Source organism: Homo sapiens, chromosome 8 (assembly GCF_000001405.40).
Source record: "Homo sapiens chromosome 8, GRCh38.p14 Primary Assembly".
In the NCBI taxonomy this organism is placed as follows: Eukaryota; Metazoa; Chordata; class Mammalia; order Primates; family Hominidae; genus Homo; species Homo sapiens.
Window position 1 is genome coordinate 101,948,196 of NC_000008.11, and position 20,406 is coordinate 101,968,601.

The 20,406-nt window shown below is 41.0% G+C and overlaps 1 protein-coding gene across 17 annotated transcripts in view; it reads right to left on the bottom strand.

Moving 5' to 3' along the window:
- NCALD (neurocalcin delta) overlaps positions 1-20,406 on the bottom strand; it is a 438,366-nt gene that overhangs the window by 261,654 nt on the left and 156,306 nt on the right. The window contains exon 1 of one of the 17 annotated variants that reach the window (XM_047422307.1): positions 19,682-19,779. The exons of the other annotated variants lie outside the window; for them this stretch is intronic. The gene's annotated coding sequence lies outside the window, so the exon portion shown is untranslated. Of the gene's footprint in view, positions 1-19,681; positions 19,780-20,406 lie in introns of those variants that run through there. 17 annotated transcript variants of the gene reach the window in all.

Below are 20,406 nucleotides of genomic sequence, written 5' to 3' on the forward strand. Positions count from 1 at the left end.
AGAGATGGCCCTGGCCTGGACTAAGGTATTGGCCCAAGATATAAAGAAACAGACAATGTTGAGCTATTTAGGTGACCAAGTTGACAGGACTTAGATATGAGCTGGATGGATATAGGAGGTGAAGAAGAAGGAGACCCAAGGATGATCTCAGGACTCTTCCTACCTACCTCGGTGAAGGGTGCTCAGAGACTGAGGAGAAGGCTTAGTGGATCGGAAGAAAAATCAGGAGTAAAACTTTAGATATGAGGAGTTGGAGGTGATTTTAATGTATCCAAGGCAAGACACTTAGTAAGCAGTTGAATAATCCCTCTGGGAACCAGGAGGGAGACCAGGGTTGGACACAGATGTGGAAGTCATTAGCATATAGATGGTGATTAAAACCATGGATAAGTAGCAACTGCTCAGGGAGAGGGTACTGAGATGAGAATAAAGCCTGAGTGAGAACCCAGAAGACATTAACATTTTGTGTCCCACCAAAGGAAGAAGAGCCTAGAAAGGAACAGTTGAAAAGAATAGGAAATGTGCATGGCGGCCATTTCACAACCCCAGAGTGCAGGGCGGAGGTTACCCTGAAGACCCGGAGCCAGGCTGCCTATGGGGAAGTCCTGGCTCCATTAGTAAGCAAGATGAGCTTCAGCAACTTACTTAGCTTCCTGGGCCTCAGTTTCCCTCATTTTAAAATGGTGATAACAACATCTGTAGAATCTGCCTTATAGAGTGGTTCTGAGGTTCAGATGACTTACTTTGTATACAGTGCTCAGAACAGGACCTGGCATGTACCAAGAGCCCATCAGGTGCTTCTTGTTAAGTGTACCTTACAGAAAACATCTTATAGAGTTCATTTAGTCTGCCAGGTGCCACGTGTTCCAAGTAATAAAAAGTGCATAAAAATGAACTGCTTACTACCTACCCACCTTGTATAAGCTACTTATATTCATAACTATCCCCAAATAAGACTTGTATTTGCATAGAACTTTCATTTAGCAAAAAGCTTTCATTGATCCTTTAATTTACCCCACAATCCTGTGAGGAAAGAGAGCTGTTTTCTTATCCAAGAGATCAAGAAAACTACCCAAGGTCATGCAGAATGTAAGACGCACACTCAGGATTTGAACCCTAGTTATCTGGTTGAAGGTTCACTAGTCGTCACAGGTCAGTCTCTCTTCTTTCTCTGCTTGGAAATACATTTGTAGGTCCTTGTCTCCATAGCACTCCAAAAATGTTTCCATTCATTTTCAAGATGGCTTTCACCTGCAGAACTCCTGCTATGCTAGCAGTACATATCTGGTACTGTTAGAGAGGCTGTGGGTCAAACGACATCAGGAAATAAATGTTAATAACTCGGCCTCCCCGTCTGTCATATGGTAAGCTCCAATGGTCAATCCACATTTGAAAGACACTAAACAGCTGATCAAACTCTCAGTTACAGAGTATCCTTCCCAGCCCCATCATTTCCAATGGGCTGATAGAAAATAACTGAAGGCCATCCAAATAGACCAAGTGGTTATGTTTTGTATTCTTTAGCAATTTAACTTAAGAAAATCCAGCAACTGAATGATCCTTATGCCCCAGGTTGAGACAAAAAAAAAAATCAGGTGATATTATGTATTCAAAACTCTGAAGAGGTGGTTGGTTTCTTAAAATCTGTGTTTGTGGACACAACATTGAGTCAGAAAGGGTTATTCTGCAGCTGACATTGTGTTCCAACAATCATCCAGACTGAGAGGTGAGTCACCATCCATCAGGCACTTCATCAAAGTTCTTCCACTTGGTTGTCACCAGGCAACAAGGGGCTCTGAGCAGCACGTAATTAAAGCCGGAGCAGCTGAGAGGGAAAGGCGGCTGATCATTTAGACGTCAAGAAAGAGCCAGGTTGACAGGATGATGGATTGAAAACATGCATTTAGCCTTGCTCTCTCCCCAAACCCCACAAAAATGACAGTAAAAGGATTTTATTACAGGCATAAACCCACAAGGACAAAGAAAATGTGAAAAGAGACAACAGTAATGAAATTTTGGAAGCTGGAAAGCAGATGGGCAAGTGGTGACTGACTCAACAAACCTGAAAATATGAATCCTAAGGCGGTAGCCGGAAAGCCAAGAAGCAACCAGATTTACGTTGCATAATCCCCAAATGGCTCAGGAATTAGCAGGACCAGGCATTTCTAAAAGTAGGAAATGTGAAAAGAGACAACAGTAATGAAATTTTGTTGGGACCAAAAGCAAGAAGATTCATTGGATGTCTTCTTAAGAGACCATCAGACCCTCAGAGAGCCTTCCTATGCAGCAGTATAATAGATTGCATTATCTTTCCATTTCGTCAGCCCTCCCTCTGCTGTGTGATTTGTAGTCACTCCCACTAAAAGCAGAATGTATATCTGTGCCTCAGTGAGGTTATGCTTGGCTAAGAGACTTCCTTGGCCCGTGGAATGTGGGCAGAGTACAGTGAACAAAGCCTGAGCTTGGGCTATAAAAGACATTGTGTCCCCCCACTTGTTCCTATTGAAGGTCTGACACTGCACTAGAAGAGAATTCCTGTGTAGCCTGTTGGTCCAAGAAGAATAAGCCACATGGAACAGACCTGATCTAAGCCCACAGCTTGAATCCAAGCCCAACCAAGCTCAGACGACCTGCAGTCCCATAAGCTAGAAACCAGCTCTTGTAGCTGTAACAGGCCACTGATATTTTGAGGTTATTTGTTCCACAGCAGAGTTGACTCAGATGGCAATAGGTACCTACAAGTACTAAACACTACAGTGTGTAGTTTTTATTATAGCAGCATTCCACTTCTAGGTACCCAACTTCCTCTTACCCTTTGGTTTTGGAGGCCGCAGGTGCTAGACCAAGCCATGCAGGCAATGCCAACCAGACACGTCTCAGCCAGCCCTCCTTCTGGGAGAATCATTTCCAATGTTGGTCTTGGTTTTGGGAATAGGTCACAGGTAGCAATATATTATAACTACAACCTGTTGCAATATATATGTTTTCAGAGGCTAGAAAAAACGATGAGGACAGTATTATAGGAGGCTAGAAAAATGGTACCCCATGTTTTTTAATGGCAAAACGTTTGGTATAATTGTTACCTACAGTAACTTGGAAGATTGAAAATATACCTAATGAACTCAAAGACTTGAGCAGGGAGGTGTACAGGCAGCATGCTGATGGAGGCAACTGGAGCACCTTCAGCAATCTTAGAGTGAAGACAGTGAGGAGCTGGCGAAGACGGAAGAATTTAGAGAAGAGGCCATGCTCCACAAATGTCAGGGAGGGAGCGTACCAGAGGCTGGACTAAAGCTGAGCACAGACTTCCTGCTCAACTCTGCCTCAGATGGGGCTTGATTTGGAGGCACCTGGGTTTGACGAGGCCCCGTGCCTGCCATCAGTCATGACTGGAGCCTTCTGGAGCAGGTGATTCCTAAAACACTTCATGTGTGTATCATATTTTAACATTCCTCCCAGTGCCTGGTACTCAGCAAATGTTTCTTGAACAAATAAATAAATGGTCTTAAGTCATTCAACCCCCTTACTTCAGTTTCCTGGGTCTCGTTCAGCAATAAGTTTCCACGATGGATATCCATCCTGATCCTCAAGCTACAGAGATGCCTGAGAACTTCTGTGGTCTGTTTGTCCTGCTTCAGACTGTCCCTCAGGCATCCACAGGTAGGACCAAGTGGCCAGCACCCTCCATGCTGAGCCCCTGGTCCTCTCCAGAGCATGGAGTCCAATGTCAGTCAAGGCACAGCCATGCCTGGACTAAGCGAGAGAGAGGAAGGGGTCATCTGGCTAAAGTATTGTTTAAACACCTTATTTCTCTGATTACTTTTTTATCATGTCAACAAAAAAAGGAGCAAGTTCTTCCTAGGGCAGTGTTAGACCCAAGCTCCTCTTGGAATCCCTGGAAGATGCCGGGCAGGAGGGCAAGTGGGAACCGACTGCTGAGTGTATCTGGGAGGAAGCCCCAGAGAGCTGCCCTCCTTGTCCTCTGTTCCTAAGGGAACTGAGAGTGCTGGGTCTTGTCCACGCAAAGAATGCAAGTACAGGACTCCAAGTCTGTCCCATGAAACAACTGACCACTCACATCTTCTTCCTCGGCTCCCTCTCACACCAGACCCCGCTGAAATCTACCAGCCTTACAAACTGCCTCTTCTCCGCCAAGCTCTGACATCTCTTCCTGATTCCAGCACCTCCTCTTCCTGTGGCCTCATCTGCCATCCATCCTTGGCTGGCAGAACCCCACTTCCTCTTACCCCTGGTTTTGGGGGCTGCAGGCACTAGGCAAAGCCATGTAGGCAATACCCACCAGACACATCTCAGCCCTCCTGGGAGAATCATTTCCAGTGTTGACACCCCCAGGCCTGTTGTCCCCTGCTCATCTCTGGTCACAGCTGAGAGCACCCGTGTTGTCAGCAGGCTCTTAATGGGGCTTTCCATCAGCTCCCAAAGCCCACAGGGCCTGAAGGCAAATTTCACACCTAACACACCCCAGCTAAGGAGAAAGATAGAAACACAGTGGGAAAGATTTGAATGTTGTGATGATCAGAGGCCCTTAAGTGTGGATGGCACTGCATAGTTCCCTGGGACTAATTTTTTCCAGGGTGCTAAGGGAGCACAGGAGATCTGCAGCTTGTGAAGATGAGAGCAGAGTTCTCTGCCCGGCTTGCCAACTGCCTGTGTGGCCACAAATGCAACTGACAGAGCTGGCTGTCAGAGGCAATAGCAAGACTTCTTTTTTTTTTTTAAGAAGTAACACTTTCTGTTTCCCAGTGTTTCCTTCTATCTCCCTCCTTTCCTTCATCCCCACGGGTTTTGAGGAGTTTGGGTGGCTGCACATCCTAGATCTCTGCTAACAAGCCCAGATTTCTCACAGGAATGCTTCTGGCGCTGGCCCAAGACTCCAGTCTCTCACAGAGTGGAGTAGCTGTCAGGACAATCACATTCACATTTGGGAGAATGACAGCAGCCCTTCCAACCTGGGGCAGATGGGGCAGTGGCTCACCCCCGTCACCCATTTCATCTGTCACCAGATGAAGACTAGCCGCTGCTGACGGTGGCTCCTCAACCTAAGAGTCTCTCATTGCTGGTGCTTCCCAACTTAAAGAATATTGTAGGAGGCACAAAGTTGCCACAGTCCCTCAGAGGTCTTCATGATGTGAACCGAGGGTCAGCTGATGGCTGTTAGGACCTGACCTTATGCCAATCATCTTTGTAATAGCTCTCTTGCCTCCAATCTGGAGAGACATTAAGAGTTGAGCAAAAATCTACCTTGCACTAAATGGTGTGTAAAACAAAGATGACAAGCAATTATCAAACTGCCCTTTCCAAGATCCAAGAAAATCTCCCTGCAAGGGCCAGGGTTTAAAATGAAGGATCAGAGATCTCAAGGGGGTCCTGCAATAAAACAGTTTAAAGAGAACCAGGGCTCAGCCAGAGCCTTGCTCATGACAGGCACTTGATAAACGCACACTGCATTCAGTGAGATGGAAGGAGAGTAACTTAGGCCAAGGTGCTATTATAAGATGATCATGTGGATTTTAGAGGGCACAGCCATCTCTGTCATACAGAATTGTGACTGCGTCACCTTTTGTTGAATGAAGTAAATTATCAAAACTGAGGGGGTAATGGGAATTCCCAAATTTGTAGCCAGTTGGTCAAAAGTGCAGGTGGCCTGTGGGCTTTGGGAGCTGATGGAAAACCGCCATCAATCCCAGAGCTTGTGGCTAGTGTCTGAAATAAGAGAAGTCTTGTAGAGGGCAGAGCCCTTGACCTAACTCCAGGTAGTCAGCAACAGAATTGCACTGCAACTCTCACAGACTCTGTAGACACCATGGTGAGAAAGAGAGACACAGTCCTGGCCTTCTAAGGGCTTAGCATCCAGCCGACATGGCAGACACTCATAGCAAGTACTGTGGGAGCTGCATTTGAAGTGCACTCCAGGGTATGGGCCGTCCTATGGCAGAAGGAGCCTCAGCACCTAGGGACCTCAGGAGCAAGCCTGTCTCTTACTCATCCATATTTTGGATGGCAACTCATGATGGTGACTTGGACATCAGTAGAATATGACAGGACTTTGTTCAGGCCAGAACGTTTTCTCCTTTGAAAGTTCCTCGGTGAGTGACCCCTTCTCCCTTGCCCAGATGGGTCATGCCACATGGAAAGCAGAAATATTCCCAGCCCTGAGCCCGAGGCCCTCCTCATTTCCCCTGACCTCTCCTGGCTTCCTGCTTTCTGCTTTTCTTTCCCTTCTGAACCCACCTCTCATACTTCTCCCCTCTCCCTGATTCATTCTCTCTACCTCTAATCAGAGAAAAATACTCTTACCATGAGGGAAACAATCGTCATCCTCTTTCAATCGAAAGGATGACTGCATTGTTCTGCAATAACAAACAAGAGCAATTTGGACATGAGGGCAAAAGAGGAGAGAGAGGAGAGGACAAAGGGAGGAGAAGAGAGGATTGAGGCCAGAGTTCTCTTTCCACAGCACTCCAGGCAGACCCTACAAAGTGATCCAGTTAGCACTCGAGACAAAACTGACTCGCCATTCCTGGCAGTGTAAATAGACTAGTAGACTATAACTTATGCTAAAGATAATATAGAAATAAGAATCATCATTATCATCATCATAAATGCCATGCATGATTCTAGAATCATAATATTTTCATGAACAAGTATTGCAGAGCTGGGACGAGGAGTCTTGCCTCTGATAGATGATCTATGGCTTCCCCCAAGTCCTTGATCCTCTCTGAGCCTCAGTTATTTATCTGCAAAATGGAGCTCTGACCCATTTTGGCACACAAACAGCCTATAAGAGAGCCAGGATTTGGCTTAGTTCATGTCACTCAGAACCCAGAGATCTTTCCTCCATCCCATAGCCGCCACTCTCCCCTTCAGATCACTGCTGTCTTGCCAAGTGAATAAATGGCAGAAGCAATGAATAAGGCGAGAGTGAAGAAGAAGCTTAAAGAGAAAGTATCGCCAAATGCCTCACAGTCTTAATTAAATGAGAATATAGGGATAGAACAATAAGTCCCTAGACCTAGTTTTATATTTTAGAAGGGGGGAGGACGTTGGCCCTAGGGAAACAAAAGGGAAGTGCCTTCCAGAGAGTCCACTAACTATTCTCTTTCGTAGAGAGGGCAAATGTGAATATATAAAATCTCACTAAAAAGTAGACTTACTGGGCCTATCTTGGAGCCTAGAACAAGGCAAAAGCTGAAGCCCAAGGACATGACTCTTCTGAAAAAATAAAAGTCACAGATCATTAATAATTAGGAAGCTGAGACATCTGGGGTCTAAAATGTGACTCTTACCCATTTGCTCATTTTGCAAAAACAGGCAGTAAGTTAAGGACTCTAGGAAATACAGTGTTTAACAACATAACAGACTCTGCCCTTAAGTGACTTGGGCTCACATATTTATAAAAGTTTCCAGTAAAACATAAATTAGTACTTTAGAAACAAGATAATTCTTAATCTATTTTCGGTTTAATTAAATACAATAAGGAGGGGAGAAATGGCTAAACACAGAGGTAGCAAAATCAAAACTCAGTGTTTTCAAACATAACTGATCTTAAAAATAGTTATAGAAGATATTGAGACAATTGACAAAATTTATATATAGACTGTAGCTTAGATACTAGTATTGTAGTATCTAATTTCCTAATATTGATCATGGTAATGTGGTTATGAAAGGAATATGCTCAATCTTAGGAATACACACTCAGGTATTTAAGGGTAATGGGATGTGGTATCTTCAAGTTACTTCCCAGTAGTTTAGAAAAAAACGTACAGAGAAAGAAAGCAACAGAAAATGATGGAAAGTAAACAAGCAAAAATGTGAACCCATAGGAGAATCTAGGTAAGGGAATTAGAATAAATATTTGTACTATTCTTGACATTTTTCTATAAGTTTGAAATTATAATTTAAAGTAACCCCATACTCTCATGATTGATATAATGAATAAATCATGGATGTAAAAGGAACATTGCTTATCCACCCCCAAAGAGACTTCATTTGGCCAGCACTGAATCTGAATCATGGTTTTCCTATCTTCTGCAGCCAAAACACAAGAAAATCTCAGGCTGGTTACATGCCAAGCATGGAAAGGTAACATGTTTTAGAATGTGAGGCCAATGACTATGTTTAAATGAATCAACTCAAACCAGTTTCTCCAAGTTTACCCAAACATAGCCGGCAGAAAGAGACACCTAATCAGAGTGAGACTATCCAAGTCACAGTAATCACTAATCCCCAACTGTCTCTAAGCCACAAATGCTACTGCAAACACACACCGAAGGCAAGTGCTTTGAAATTTTATAGCAATATAGGTACACGTAAGTATCTACATATATTCTGAGGAAGGAAGCGGTTAGGGGAGAGAGAAAGAGGGATAGGGAGAGGGAGGTGGAGAGAGAGAGAGACAGACACAGAGAGAGAGAGAGACAGACACACAGAGAGAGAGACTATCTACTCTGGACCATTAAATAATGCCTACTTGGATGACAGTCAAGAAATTATATGTACAACAAGGTAAAAGTCCCCTACATAACCTCACAAAACTGAGTAAGAAAAATGATTGAAAAAAGAACACCCTTCATAAGGCTGAAATCCCTTTTACCTAGCCCACACCATTGTGCCCAGCTGGAAGTATACAATCATGTAATGGTTGCACTTCACTTTCATTCTCAAAATGCATTCTACCTGAAGTTTACAATTTAATAAAATATAGAGATACCAATTAGGGAAAAGTTAAATTCTGAAAATGCCATATTTAAATGAAATGTTAATCCCCCCTCCCAAAGAAATAAATGAAAACAGGAAAGGTTTCTTCCTTAATGGAGCTCAGAGATAAATTCAGACCCTGTCATTAACCCACTGGGATGCTTGAAAGTAATTTTGATTCTTGCTTTGTTGAGAGGGATCTAGTTCTGGCATACCATAAATTCTAATTAAACAAAAAGGGAAAAACTTTAAAAATGAGCAATGCAATCAATTATAAACATTCTATTTAGAGTAATGTTAGCATAACAAGTAAGCTTAAAAAAGGAAAAAAGAAAATAATTATTAAACAGATGGGTAGTAAAAAGAAAAGTTGGGGTTTTTTTTTTTTTTTTTTTTTTTTTAGCACAAAGCCTTAATCTGAAGCCAAGCAGAGATGAAGATAAACAAGAAGTTGCCCTCCGCAGCCAAAGAGCATAATACCCAGGAAATCAAATGAAATCAGTCTAAAATACTGACTGCAGTTAACATGAACTTAGCATCCTGATGCCAAATGAAAGATTTAAGCAAGTTCCCTATTTTTAGGGCTTTGTATCTTGGTAGCTGTATAATGAATCAGGATGTGTCTTGGAAAACTCGCTGGCAGCCTGGAGGATATTTGTTTTCCTACCAAAAATAGTTGGAGTCTCCTAAAATGTGAAAGGGACACAAAGTGAACAGAGCACTTGAGGAATCTGGCTCAACCGTTGAATCAGAAGAGATCAGTCAGGAGTCCAATGCTAAGGCCTGACACCTTGTCTGGTTAAACAAGAGCCTGAAGGAACACAAGGATGGCAAGTAAAAGATGAGACAGTGCTTTGTCTATGGTGTGAGACATGTAATGCAGATCTCCTAAGAAAAACTGGGAGATTTCAGAGCTGAGACCCTACCAGGCTGTTGGAATGGAGCCCCCAGGCTGGGGTGTCATAGATCGAGGTACCCCACAGCAGAGGTCCCTTACTTGGAAACTAGTAAATTCCTACCACCACCATAAAAAGATGTGCACTTCTCCTCCAGAAACACTTTTTCTATTGGACCTCAGCATCGCCCATACTATTTTACTTCTGTGTCAGCGTAGCTCAGGGTTCAAACTCTGATGGTATGATCCCACCTGGGGCATCCTTCACCATGCAGGGTCTCAGTCCTCTCACCTATAAAATGAGAGGGTAGAACAAGTAATCACTGAGGTCCTTTCCAGTTCTAGAAATGGAATTATAATGAGCAATTCTAAATTCAGAGAAATTAACTTTTGGATCTCCATAGTCTTGGCTGTGGGCACTTGTAATCGACATGTTTTTGTCTGGTCAAATCACACAATTACATCTAGTTGGCCAAGGATGGACCAACAGGCTTCCTAAGAGCTTTTAGGAAAATCTTTAACCCTGTTACCTTAATCTCATAATGCTTGTAGGAATTTACTCGTACAGCATAATTGGTCACATAAACTGAAGCTTCGTTATTACATCACTGATGTAGGGAGGAATCGAGCCCAAGGAGAAAACTCCTTGGAGTTCGTTCAAGGGAGCTGTGTTATTAAAGGACTGAGGGGGCTACATTACATAGATGTTTTACCTGCTTACGAAATAATAAGAACAATATCTAAGAGATGTTGACTGTTTGCCATATGCCAGAACCTGTTCTAGGGTCTTTGTGTGATTGTCTCACTAAAATCTCCTATCAATCCTAAAAAATGGGTCATTATCCCTCAACTGCTCTAGCAGAAGAGAAAACTGAGGACAAGGAGGCTAAATAACTCACCCAAGGACACTCAGAAATAGGATTTGAACCTGGATACCTGGTTTCAGAGCTAGCATGCTTCACAAGGTTTCAGTATAAATACAACTGGACAGTATATGAATGATGCCAATTCCTTGAACTCCTAGCCCACTTTTATTTTATATTTTAAATGTATTATTTGGAAACAATTCCAAATATACAGAAAAGTTGCAGAAACAGCACATTTGAGCCGTTTGAAAGTAAGTTGCTGGTATTTTTCCTTATCATTCCATGAATGCTTTACTGTAGTAATCCTATAACCACAATATGAACATCAAAATTGTGAAACAAAATACTGAAGCAATACTACTATCTCATCCTCAGACCCCATTTATGTTCATCCACTAGTCCTAACAATGTCTTTTCTAGCAAAAGGAGGCAGTTCTGAGTCACTGGTTGCATTGAATTGTCATGGCTATTTATCTTCCTTCAATCTGCAACAGATTCTTGTCCTTGACATTCATGAACTTGGCATTTTTGAAGATTACAGGCTAGTTATTTTTTTTTAATGGCCCTCAATTTGAGTTTTTCTGATGTATTCTCACAATTAGGTTCAAGTTATGCATCTTTGGTGGTAACATCCCAGAAGTGATGCTGTGTCCTTCTATCTGGACTTTGCAGGTGGCACAAAATTTCAATTTGTCTCATTCAAGGTGATGTTAGCTGGAGAAACCTGGCAGACACACCAGAGTAAATTACTCATTTTTCTTTTGTAATATGTAGGTATTTCATAAGAAGGTACTTTGAGACTGCATAAATATCTCAGTCCTCAAAAAACTTTCCAGTTATTTGTTAATTTATTTATATTACTGTGAACTCAGATTCCTGTCTCATTCACTGAGTTATAATCTGTTATCACTCTTCTTGATATTCAGATTATTCCAGATTTAGCCAGTGGGAGGTCCATCCAGCAGGCTACTAGGTCCTACAGAAACATCCCCATCATTCTTTGAGGCTTACTTTTTGGCACAACATGTTGTTGCAGGCTCAACTTGTACTTTGCCTGCCCTAGTTCTGAAATCTGTAATTTCTCTAAAGATCACTAGTTTCTTTTAGTGGAAAATGGTATTTAGGAACCAACATCTGGGCACTAGGTGTGCTCATAGCGATGGCTCACTGCTGCTGATACCCACCCACCCTCCCTACTGCAGACACCTTTTCACCCCCTCAGGCTTCAATACCTTAGGATTGTACAGACACCTCTTCATCCCACTTGGGCTCCAACGTCCTTCCTGAACCACCAAAGCATCCCTCTCCTATTCCACAATACCTAGGCTGAGTGAACACCTACCTTCTTCAGCCCTATCTAATGGCTTTTGGGCTAACATGGTCCAGAAGGATAGAAGAGGACTGAGCCTGCCTTTAGATGATGCCATTTGCTAATTCTTTCAGGCTTGCAGGAAAGGACACTAAAGAGCTCCCACATTATTCGTTTCTATTTTCTATACATTTTCTGAGATGCACCAGAGCCCACCATACCATTCTGGTGCATTTGGCCAGTGTCCAAAAGATAATGGCAGCACCAATCAGACAAAAAACTCATTGAAGTAGCTGCTAGAGGACTTTTAAACATCAGAACTTACCCAGGGAAAAAATAAGTTCCCTCGGTAGAGTAGGATGCAGTGAAGAATGGAGTAGAATGCAGTGAAACACACTGCCCCCAACCCATTTTTCAGGAAAAAATAATTGTATCAAAAACTTCAAATCAAAAAATTTCATTTAACATGATGGCATTACTGTTTTACAAGTAGGAATAGTGTGGCTAGTGGAGGAGAAAACTGGTATCGGAAAAAATGGAAACAGCTCAGCATGGGATTTGGAGTTATTTGAATCAGATCTGGTGACACCTGTGCCACTTAACAGCTGGATGACCTTAGGCAAGTCACAGAACCTCTGTGAACCTAGACTTCTCACTTGTAAAATGAGGAAGTGATAGAAAAGGAACAATAATAACCATGAATTGGATCATTTTGCTCCTTTGCTTTCAAAACCCTCCATAGGCTTTCCACTCCCTTAGCAATTTGCCTTGGTTTTGAGGACCCTTTATTTCACTTTTACCCTCACCAATGTAGTCTGATCACTCTGATTGATTTCTATTCTTTGAATATACCGGCTCCTTCCCTCCGTGGGGCTTTGCATTTGCTGTTTCTTCTGCCTGAGACACTCTTCTTGTCACTTAGGTCTCTACCCAAATGTCACCTCCTTAATTTGAAGCCATTCTCTTACTCTTCAGGCACCCACCATCATCATAACAGCCTGTTTCATTTTCACCATAGCACTCATCACTATCTAAAGGATCACATTTTGGCTTATTTAATCATTGTCTACTGTTCTCATTAGAAAGAATATGAGTGCCGTAATGCTGATTGTATCCCTAGTACCTCGGACAGTGGCTGGCACATGGTAGGTGTGTAATAAATATGTATGGCATAAATGAATAAATGAATGCTAGCTATTACAGATGGTTTGATGAGAATCAAATGAGATAATATAAGTAAAATATTTAGCACAGAATCTGGTAGATAATAAGTCAATAACATTGTGGTATAATAAAAAATATCAGGGAAACTGAATTCTAGCCTTGGCTCTGTTTCCAGCAAGCAGGGTAACTTTGGGCAAGCCATAAAATTCTCTAAGCTTTAGTTTCCTCATCTATAAATCCTGCAATGTAAATTTGAGTATTTCTCAGGTATCTTCCAGGATTCAAGTTCAATAGTTTTTTTCTATCTCATGGTCAAAGTTTCCAGTCCTGTCCAACGATAAATTAGTCCTTTGTTGGTAAAAACTGAACTACTGTTGCCTAAGCAGCATCTCTGAAAGGCTGACTGTGGTACTGCTGGGGTATTTTGGATCTGGTGTCCATTTGCTAACTATACTTTTATTTTTTATTGACAGGGTGTCACTATGTTGTCCAGGCTGGTCTTGAAGTCCTGACCTCCAGATATCTTCCTGGCTCAGCCTCCCAAGTAGCTGGGATTATAGGTGTGAGCCACTGTGTCTAGCATGCTAACTACTACTTTTAATTCAAATTTACAAAGGACATTCTCGCCAACTCTACAGGGTCCCAGCATTTCCACTCTACCTCAACTCTCTCCCCTACTCTAATTTCCAAAGAAAAAACAGAGGCTGGCTTTAGCTTTACAGTCATTTGGCTTGGGCCACAGTGAAATATTTATCAAAACAGAATCCAGAGAAACCTCAGAAAAAGCAGTAAAATCTGGCATTTCACTCAGATATATTTAGTGAAATTTCAAAACCCTAGATGAAAATCTACAGTCCAAGAGACATCAGTTTATCTCAAAAGAGAGAGTTCCTAAAAACACTATTAAAGCAAAGGACCAAACTGTGGCTTATTCATTTTGTTATTTAAAAAAAAATGCAGAAGTCCATACTTAACCACTCAAAAACCCATAATAATCTCCTCAGTGACACCAAACTCAGTGACTTGGCAATAATTCACCCTTGAAAAATGACTCCTGGGCAACAAGTTTGAAAACAATGCAATGTGTCTTATAGACAAAGCTGTGTCATGGCACAGTCTGCCAAACTCCAGTTGCGAGTCTGTAATTCATCTTGTTACCTTGATAGTCCAATAAAATATATGATCTATCTACAAAGAAACAAACACAAAAGAAGGATAAACATCTCTTCCATTCAGCTTGCTTTCATTTCTTGATTTGCTAAAGCCATTCAAGCCAATCTGGCTGCTGGCCTATGCAGCACCTAGCTTCAGTCAAATTAGTTTTAATGCTTCCAACAGCCTGCTTCCTTTACCCTTTTCTCCTGCAACAGATTACAAATTCAGTGGCAGAAAGAGGTTTGGATCCTTGCTATTCAAAGTCCCTAGACCAGTAGCAATGGCATCACCTGGGATCTTGCTGGATATGCAAAATCTCAGACAACTCTTCAGATTTATTAAATCAGAATCTGCATTTATAGGATCCCCAGGTAATTAACATGCACACTAAAGTTTGAGAAGCACTAAGTTAGAGTTAAGCCTTTGAGGCATTTGAAATAAATAAACTTAGTCCATATTAATTTGGAATAAAGGAGAATAGATTATTAGGTTTGTTTCTCATAGAGCAATAACTTATAATTGACCCCATGGGGGTTTCTGTGATATTATTTTGGGCTTATAATTTATTTTTTCTTTCTATTTACTAGGATTTCTCATAATCCTGGGGCAGGTTAAAAACAAACAAAAAAAACAAAACAAAAAGATGTATTGCCAAATACCTGTGATGTAGTAGTAAATTGGCTTTATGAAGGGGAAGAGCCCTGATTCATACCTTTTGCCAATTTCCATGGTGTAAATACTTCTTCACAGTCCATTTCAGGCTGCCAACAGTTTAATAGCTGGCATACAAAATTCCTGAAAATTTAACAATTGGCTTTTATAAACTCTTATGAACTACTCTAACACATCACTGAAAGACCCTCAAAAAGGAAACCTCTTTTCAAGTCATGGCCACTTTTCACTAAAGCCTCTTCGAAATGAAATGGCACCAAGTTAGACCTTCTAAACATGATTTTCATTATGCCATACCTCTGCTCCAGAACCTAAGAAACTATTAATTACTGAGCACACATATCCAATCTCCTTTTCCTGGTTTTTTGACTTCCTCTCATCTCATTGCACCCCACTTATTCCACTTCCTTGTCTAGATCTCCTTAACATGGCACTAGACTTCCCACTTCTGTTTCCTGCAACCTATCAACTCCTGAAGTCATGACCAAGGAAGCATGTGACTCCAGTTGTTGCTGGCATCACTTTCCACAATGAGGGACAGAACTGCTGCCGGACAGAACTAGCACTGCAAATGGCAGATGACAGAATGGAAAGAATCTGGGTGTTGATAATATATTCGAGTTTCTGGATCTACCTTTTCCTGAAACTTGCTCTTCTTATGAGCTTTCTGTTATATGAGCCAATAAATATCCAATTTTTATACCTACAACTGAAAAACAAACCTAATAACAGTGGGTCTAGAAGGTAAGTTCCTTATTGGCACAACAAGCTACTGTAAATTCAAATGAGGGCATCACAAACACAGCCTATCAGCCCTGCAATCTCAGGAAGAGAGAAACCACCTGGAAAGATATTACTAAGAAGTCAATCATGATAATAGTGTGGTACAGTAGTTCACAGTCTCACTGATACGGAAAGGATCTTAATGGTCTCCTCTACTTCCACTGAAAAAAAATCCATGACAGGAAATGACCAGCCTCTTATACTTAATGGAACTTCATGTCCTTCCAAGGCAGTACATCCTATTATTTTAAATTATTTGTAATGAGCTAAAATATGCCTTTCTTTAATTTCCAGTCACTAGTTGTAATGATATTCTCTTAAGCCACGCATTTAAAAATCTTGAAATATACAAAAATATTGATCATGGCTCTCTTCTAACTATCTTATTCTCAAGTTTCCAGACTGCTCACCACCTCTCACCTATGAATAGAAGGACAGAACCCAATGGCTTGCCTCTAGACACACCCCCCGACTTTGACATCAGCTTATATTAATCTACTTTCTTTGCATATATCTATTACAAATCTAAAGTTTCTCTAACTTGACCACAAGAATATAGTATTAGTTAAGGTAACGCCAGTTTCTATAACCAATAACCCTCTGATTTCATTGGTGTAATCCAACAGAAATTTTTATTTCTCCCTTGCATAGATTCAAAGGCAAGGTTCTGATTGGTGACAATGCAGGGTCCCAGTAGCCTTCCATCTTGTGGCTCCACCAACTTCACTGCATGGTTTCCAAAGCCACCATGGAAACAGTATGAGGAGAGCACCTGGTGAAATGTGTGGTTTGGGCCAAATTTGGAATTGGTGCACATGACTTCTGCTCATACAGTCATTTTATTTCCCATAACCCAGAGACTTACCTGTGTAACCAGAAGGAAGAGGATAGAAGTTTGGTGAATAGTGAGCCAATCTCTGTCACAAATACCACATTAAAATGTCTAAACATCTGTCTAAATGTCTAAACATGTACAGAAATCCAAATTATCCATAAGGACAGTCAAGGATTCGCCTAATTTTGAAAGAAGAATGATATCGCACAGAAAATAGGTATGGCAGCACACATATTTCATAAAAACAGAAAATGTTTTGGTACAGAATGGGAAACACCAAAGGAAGAATGACTCCAAAAGGCTTCTTAAGGCGTGTGTTAGGAATGCCCACTTCTTCTCAAGCATAAGAAAGTGGGCGAAGGATATGAACAGACACTTCTCAAAAGAAGACATTTACGCAGCCAACAAACATATGAAAAAAAGCTCATCATCACTGGCCATTAGAGAAATGCACATCAAAACCGCAATGAGATACCATATCACACCAGTTAGAATAGCAATCATTAAAAAGTCAATAAACAACAGATGCTGGAGAGGATGTAGAGAAATAGGAACACTTTTACAGTGTTGGTGGGAGTATAAATTAGTTCAACCATTGTGGAAGACAGTGTGGCGATTCCTCAAGGATCTAGAACTAGAAATACCATTTGACCCAGCAATCCCATTACTGGGTATATATCCAAAGGATTATAAATCATACTACTGTAAAGATACATGCATACATATGTTTATTGCAGCACTGTTCACAATAGCAAAGACTTGGAACCAACCCAAATGCCCATCACTGACAGACTGGATAAAGAAAATGTGGCACATATATACCATGGAATACTATGCAGCCATAAAAAAGGATGAATTCATGTACTTTGCAGGGACATGGATGATGCTGGAAACCATCATTCTCAGCAAACTAACCCAAGGACAGAAAAGCAAACACCACATGTTCTCACTCATAAGTGGGAGTTGAACAATGAGAACACATGGACACAGGGAGGGGAACATCACACACCAGGACCTGTTGTGGGGTGGGGGGCCAGGGGAGGGATAGCATTAGGAGAAATATCTAATGTAGACAATGGGTTGATGGGTGCAGCAAACCACCATGGCATGCGTATACCTATGTAACAAACCTGCATGTTCTGCACATGTATCCCAGAACTTAGAGTATAATTTTAAAAAATGTTTAAAAAAGAAAAGAGCAACAGCAGATTGAAAGTAAAAACACTTATTTTTGGAAATGATTTTCTATTGCCTAAATAATTTGTAAGGAATAGCAATGCTGTGCTGTGTTATTCCCACATTACTCATAATTATTTGTCACTTAATAAATTGAAATAGATCAAAAAGGGTAAATTGATAGGTTTGACTGGATGAAAATAAAAGCTTTTGTATGTTAATAAACAACATAAATGTTTTAGGAACATTCTTGCCATGATTATGACGAAGAGCTAATATCCCTAAAATATAAAGAACACTTGCAAATAATGAAATAATAAAAAATACTCTGATAAAAAAAAGAACATTATTAGATATTTCACAAAATACAAAGTATCAGTAAAATAAAATAGTTTAACTCAATGGCAATCAAAGCAAAAAAAAAAGAGAAAGAGAAAAGTTACCCATTTTTTACAAATCAAGTTGGCAAAGCTTTTTTTAAAGGTTAAAATACATGTTGGAAAGAATGTGCTAAATGGAATACTATGCAGCCATAAAAAAGGATGAGTTCATGTCCTTTGTAGGGACATGGATGAAGCTGGAAACCATCATTCTCAGCAAACTATCGCAGGGACCAAAAAACCAAACACCACATGTTCTCACTCATAGGTGAGAATTGAACAATGAGAACACATGGACACAGGAAGGGGAACATCACACACTGGGGACTGTTGTGGGGTGGAGGGAGGGGGGAGGGATAGCATTAGGAGATATACCTAATGCTAAATGACGAGTTAATGGGTGCAGCACACCAACATGGCACATGTATACATATGTAACAAACCTGCACATTGTGCACATGTACCCTAAAACTTAAAGTATAATAATAATAAAATTAAAAAAAAAGAATGTGGTAAACTTAGCATTCTTATCTAGACCTTTTTGACATAGGTATGAAGAAGCTTAAACTTGCTCTCCAATCTAAAACTTTCATATTCAGGAGTCTACCTTAAAAGAATAATCAGAGAAGATCACAGAGATTCAGGTGCAAGGATGTTCATCACAGCATTATTTTTAATGATGAAGATGGAAATAACCATTGTGTCAAAAACATTGCATAATTAAACCATGGCACATTTATACAAGAGAATGCACCCATTAAAAGTCATGTTTTTGAAAAATAATAATGAAATAATGTATTATGGGGAACAAATTAGGATATAAAATAATATATATTCATGATGCTAATTTTAGAATATATACGTGTGTGTGTTCAGCAGTACATAACATGTCTATGATAAAAAGCAGTTGGAATGCTTGATGAAGGGAAAGAACTAGAGCTTTCAAAACAGCTGCCAAAAATTTTTGGAACAAACTAAATTCAAATTATTTTCATTTTTTACCTATCTGTTGGTGATAACATCGTGCTTACTATGCCCTTAAAGCCTGAAAATTTTAGCAGTTGATTCATGAACAGTGTTGTAAACCACAACGGAAGTTGCCAAGGAAGTGTGCTGGACTCCATTTCTCTTAAGATGAGGAAAGCAAACAGCATCAAATAATTCAAAGGAATGTTTTAAATCCAAGGACTTTTATTAGGGAACACAAGTTCATCTTCACCACATTTTGATGTAAAAGCAATATGAATCCAAGATCAATTCCTCTTTTGGTAAAGATGCCTTACTTCCTGAGAAACCCTTGTTCGGAAGGGACAGGAATCCTAGGGGCCCAATATTCAATCCAAGTAGTCAGATGTGGCTACTGTCTCTTTGCAGAGGAGAAGGTAGAAAGTCGAATCAATTGGTTAAGTGTCCCATACTCTGCCACTGAGACAACTACAGTTTTGCTGCTAAAAGCAGAACACAGACTTCCAGTGCCAGGGCCTGCCAACTAGCAGGCGTCTCAGAACCCAAGGCCTAATGGGTTATCAATGCCAGCAAGAGTTCTGGGAACCAAGGCCCCACACTGCCACCAGCAAGGCAGCAGAGGGTGAGGATTCTTCTCTCCCGGCCTCACTCTCTTGGACTCTCTACCCCAGAGTAGGCCTACGTTCCCAGCATCAGAGCAGCTTGTTGACACAGCTCTTAAAATTGACACACACACACACACACACACACACATGCACTCACCCTCAGTCATTTCATGCCAGATGCTCTGCCAAGGCACGTTAGCCAGAGGAGTTTCAACATCAGCAACCTCCCCTCTGACAACCCCAGTGTAGTGTGACACCCAGATCACTAGCCATGAGAACAAGTCAGAGCCTCAAAGAGAAACAGAATATGATTGGTTGCCCCTTAAGAGGTGTTAAGCAAATCTGCCCATCACTTTCAGCTTTGTATAATAATAAGTTTTGGAGAGCCTATGACCAATGTCACCCATCTACAGACCTCCAGGTTTCTCTAAGCCCCAAACTCTGGAGTCGGTAGGTATTGGCTTTATATCTACTTAGCTAAAAGAGGCTACTCAAGTGGGTCTTCCCAGAATAAAGAAGTTTTGCTCCAAGGTGAAGAAATCACAAAAACTGGAAATAAATGGCCAACTTTAAAGGGCAGTTTTTCTTAAAAGAAAAAAAAAAATAGATTTAACTTCCATTTCATATAGCCCCTTGTACCTTAAAGCAACTTTTCCAGATCAAACAAGCAGATCAATAGATAATTTTTGTGACAAATAGATTTTCCAGGCTGGAGTTTAATCATCTAGGACTAAGCCGTGGTAAACAAAAACTCATAAACTCATCTCTTTGAGGTCAGTGTTTGACACCAAGGTACTGCCTAGAGTGCTCTGCTGTCACACCTGAGTCTTTTTATCCCTAAGATGGGTCACAATGCTTCCTGACTCAGGACGCTGTGAAAAA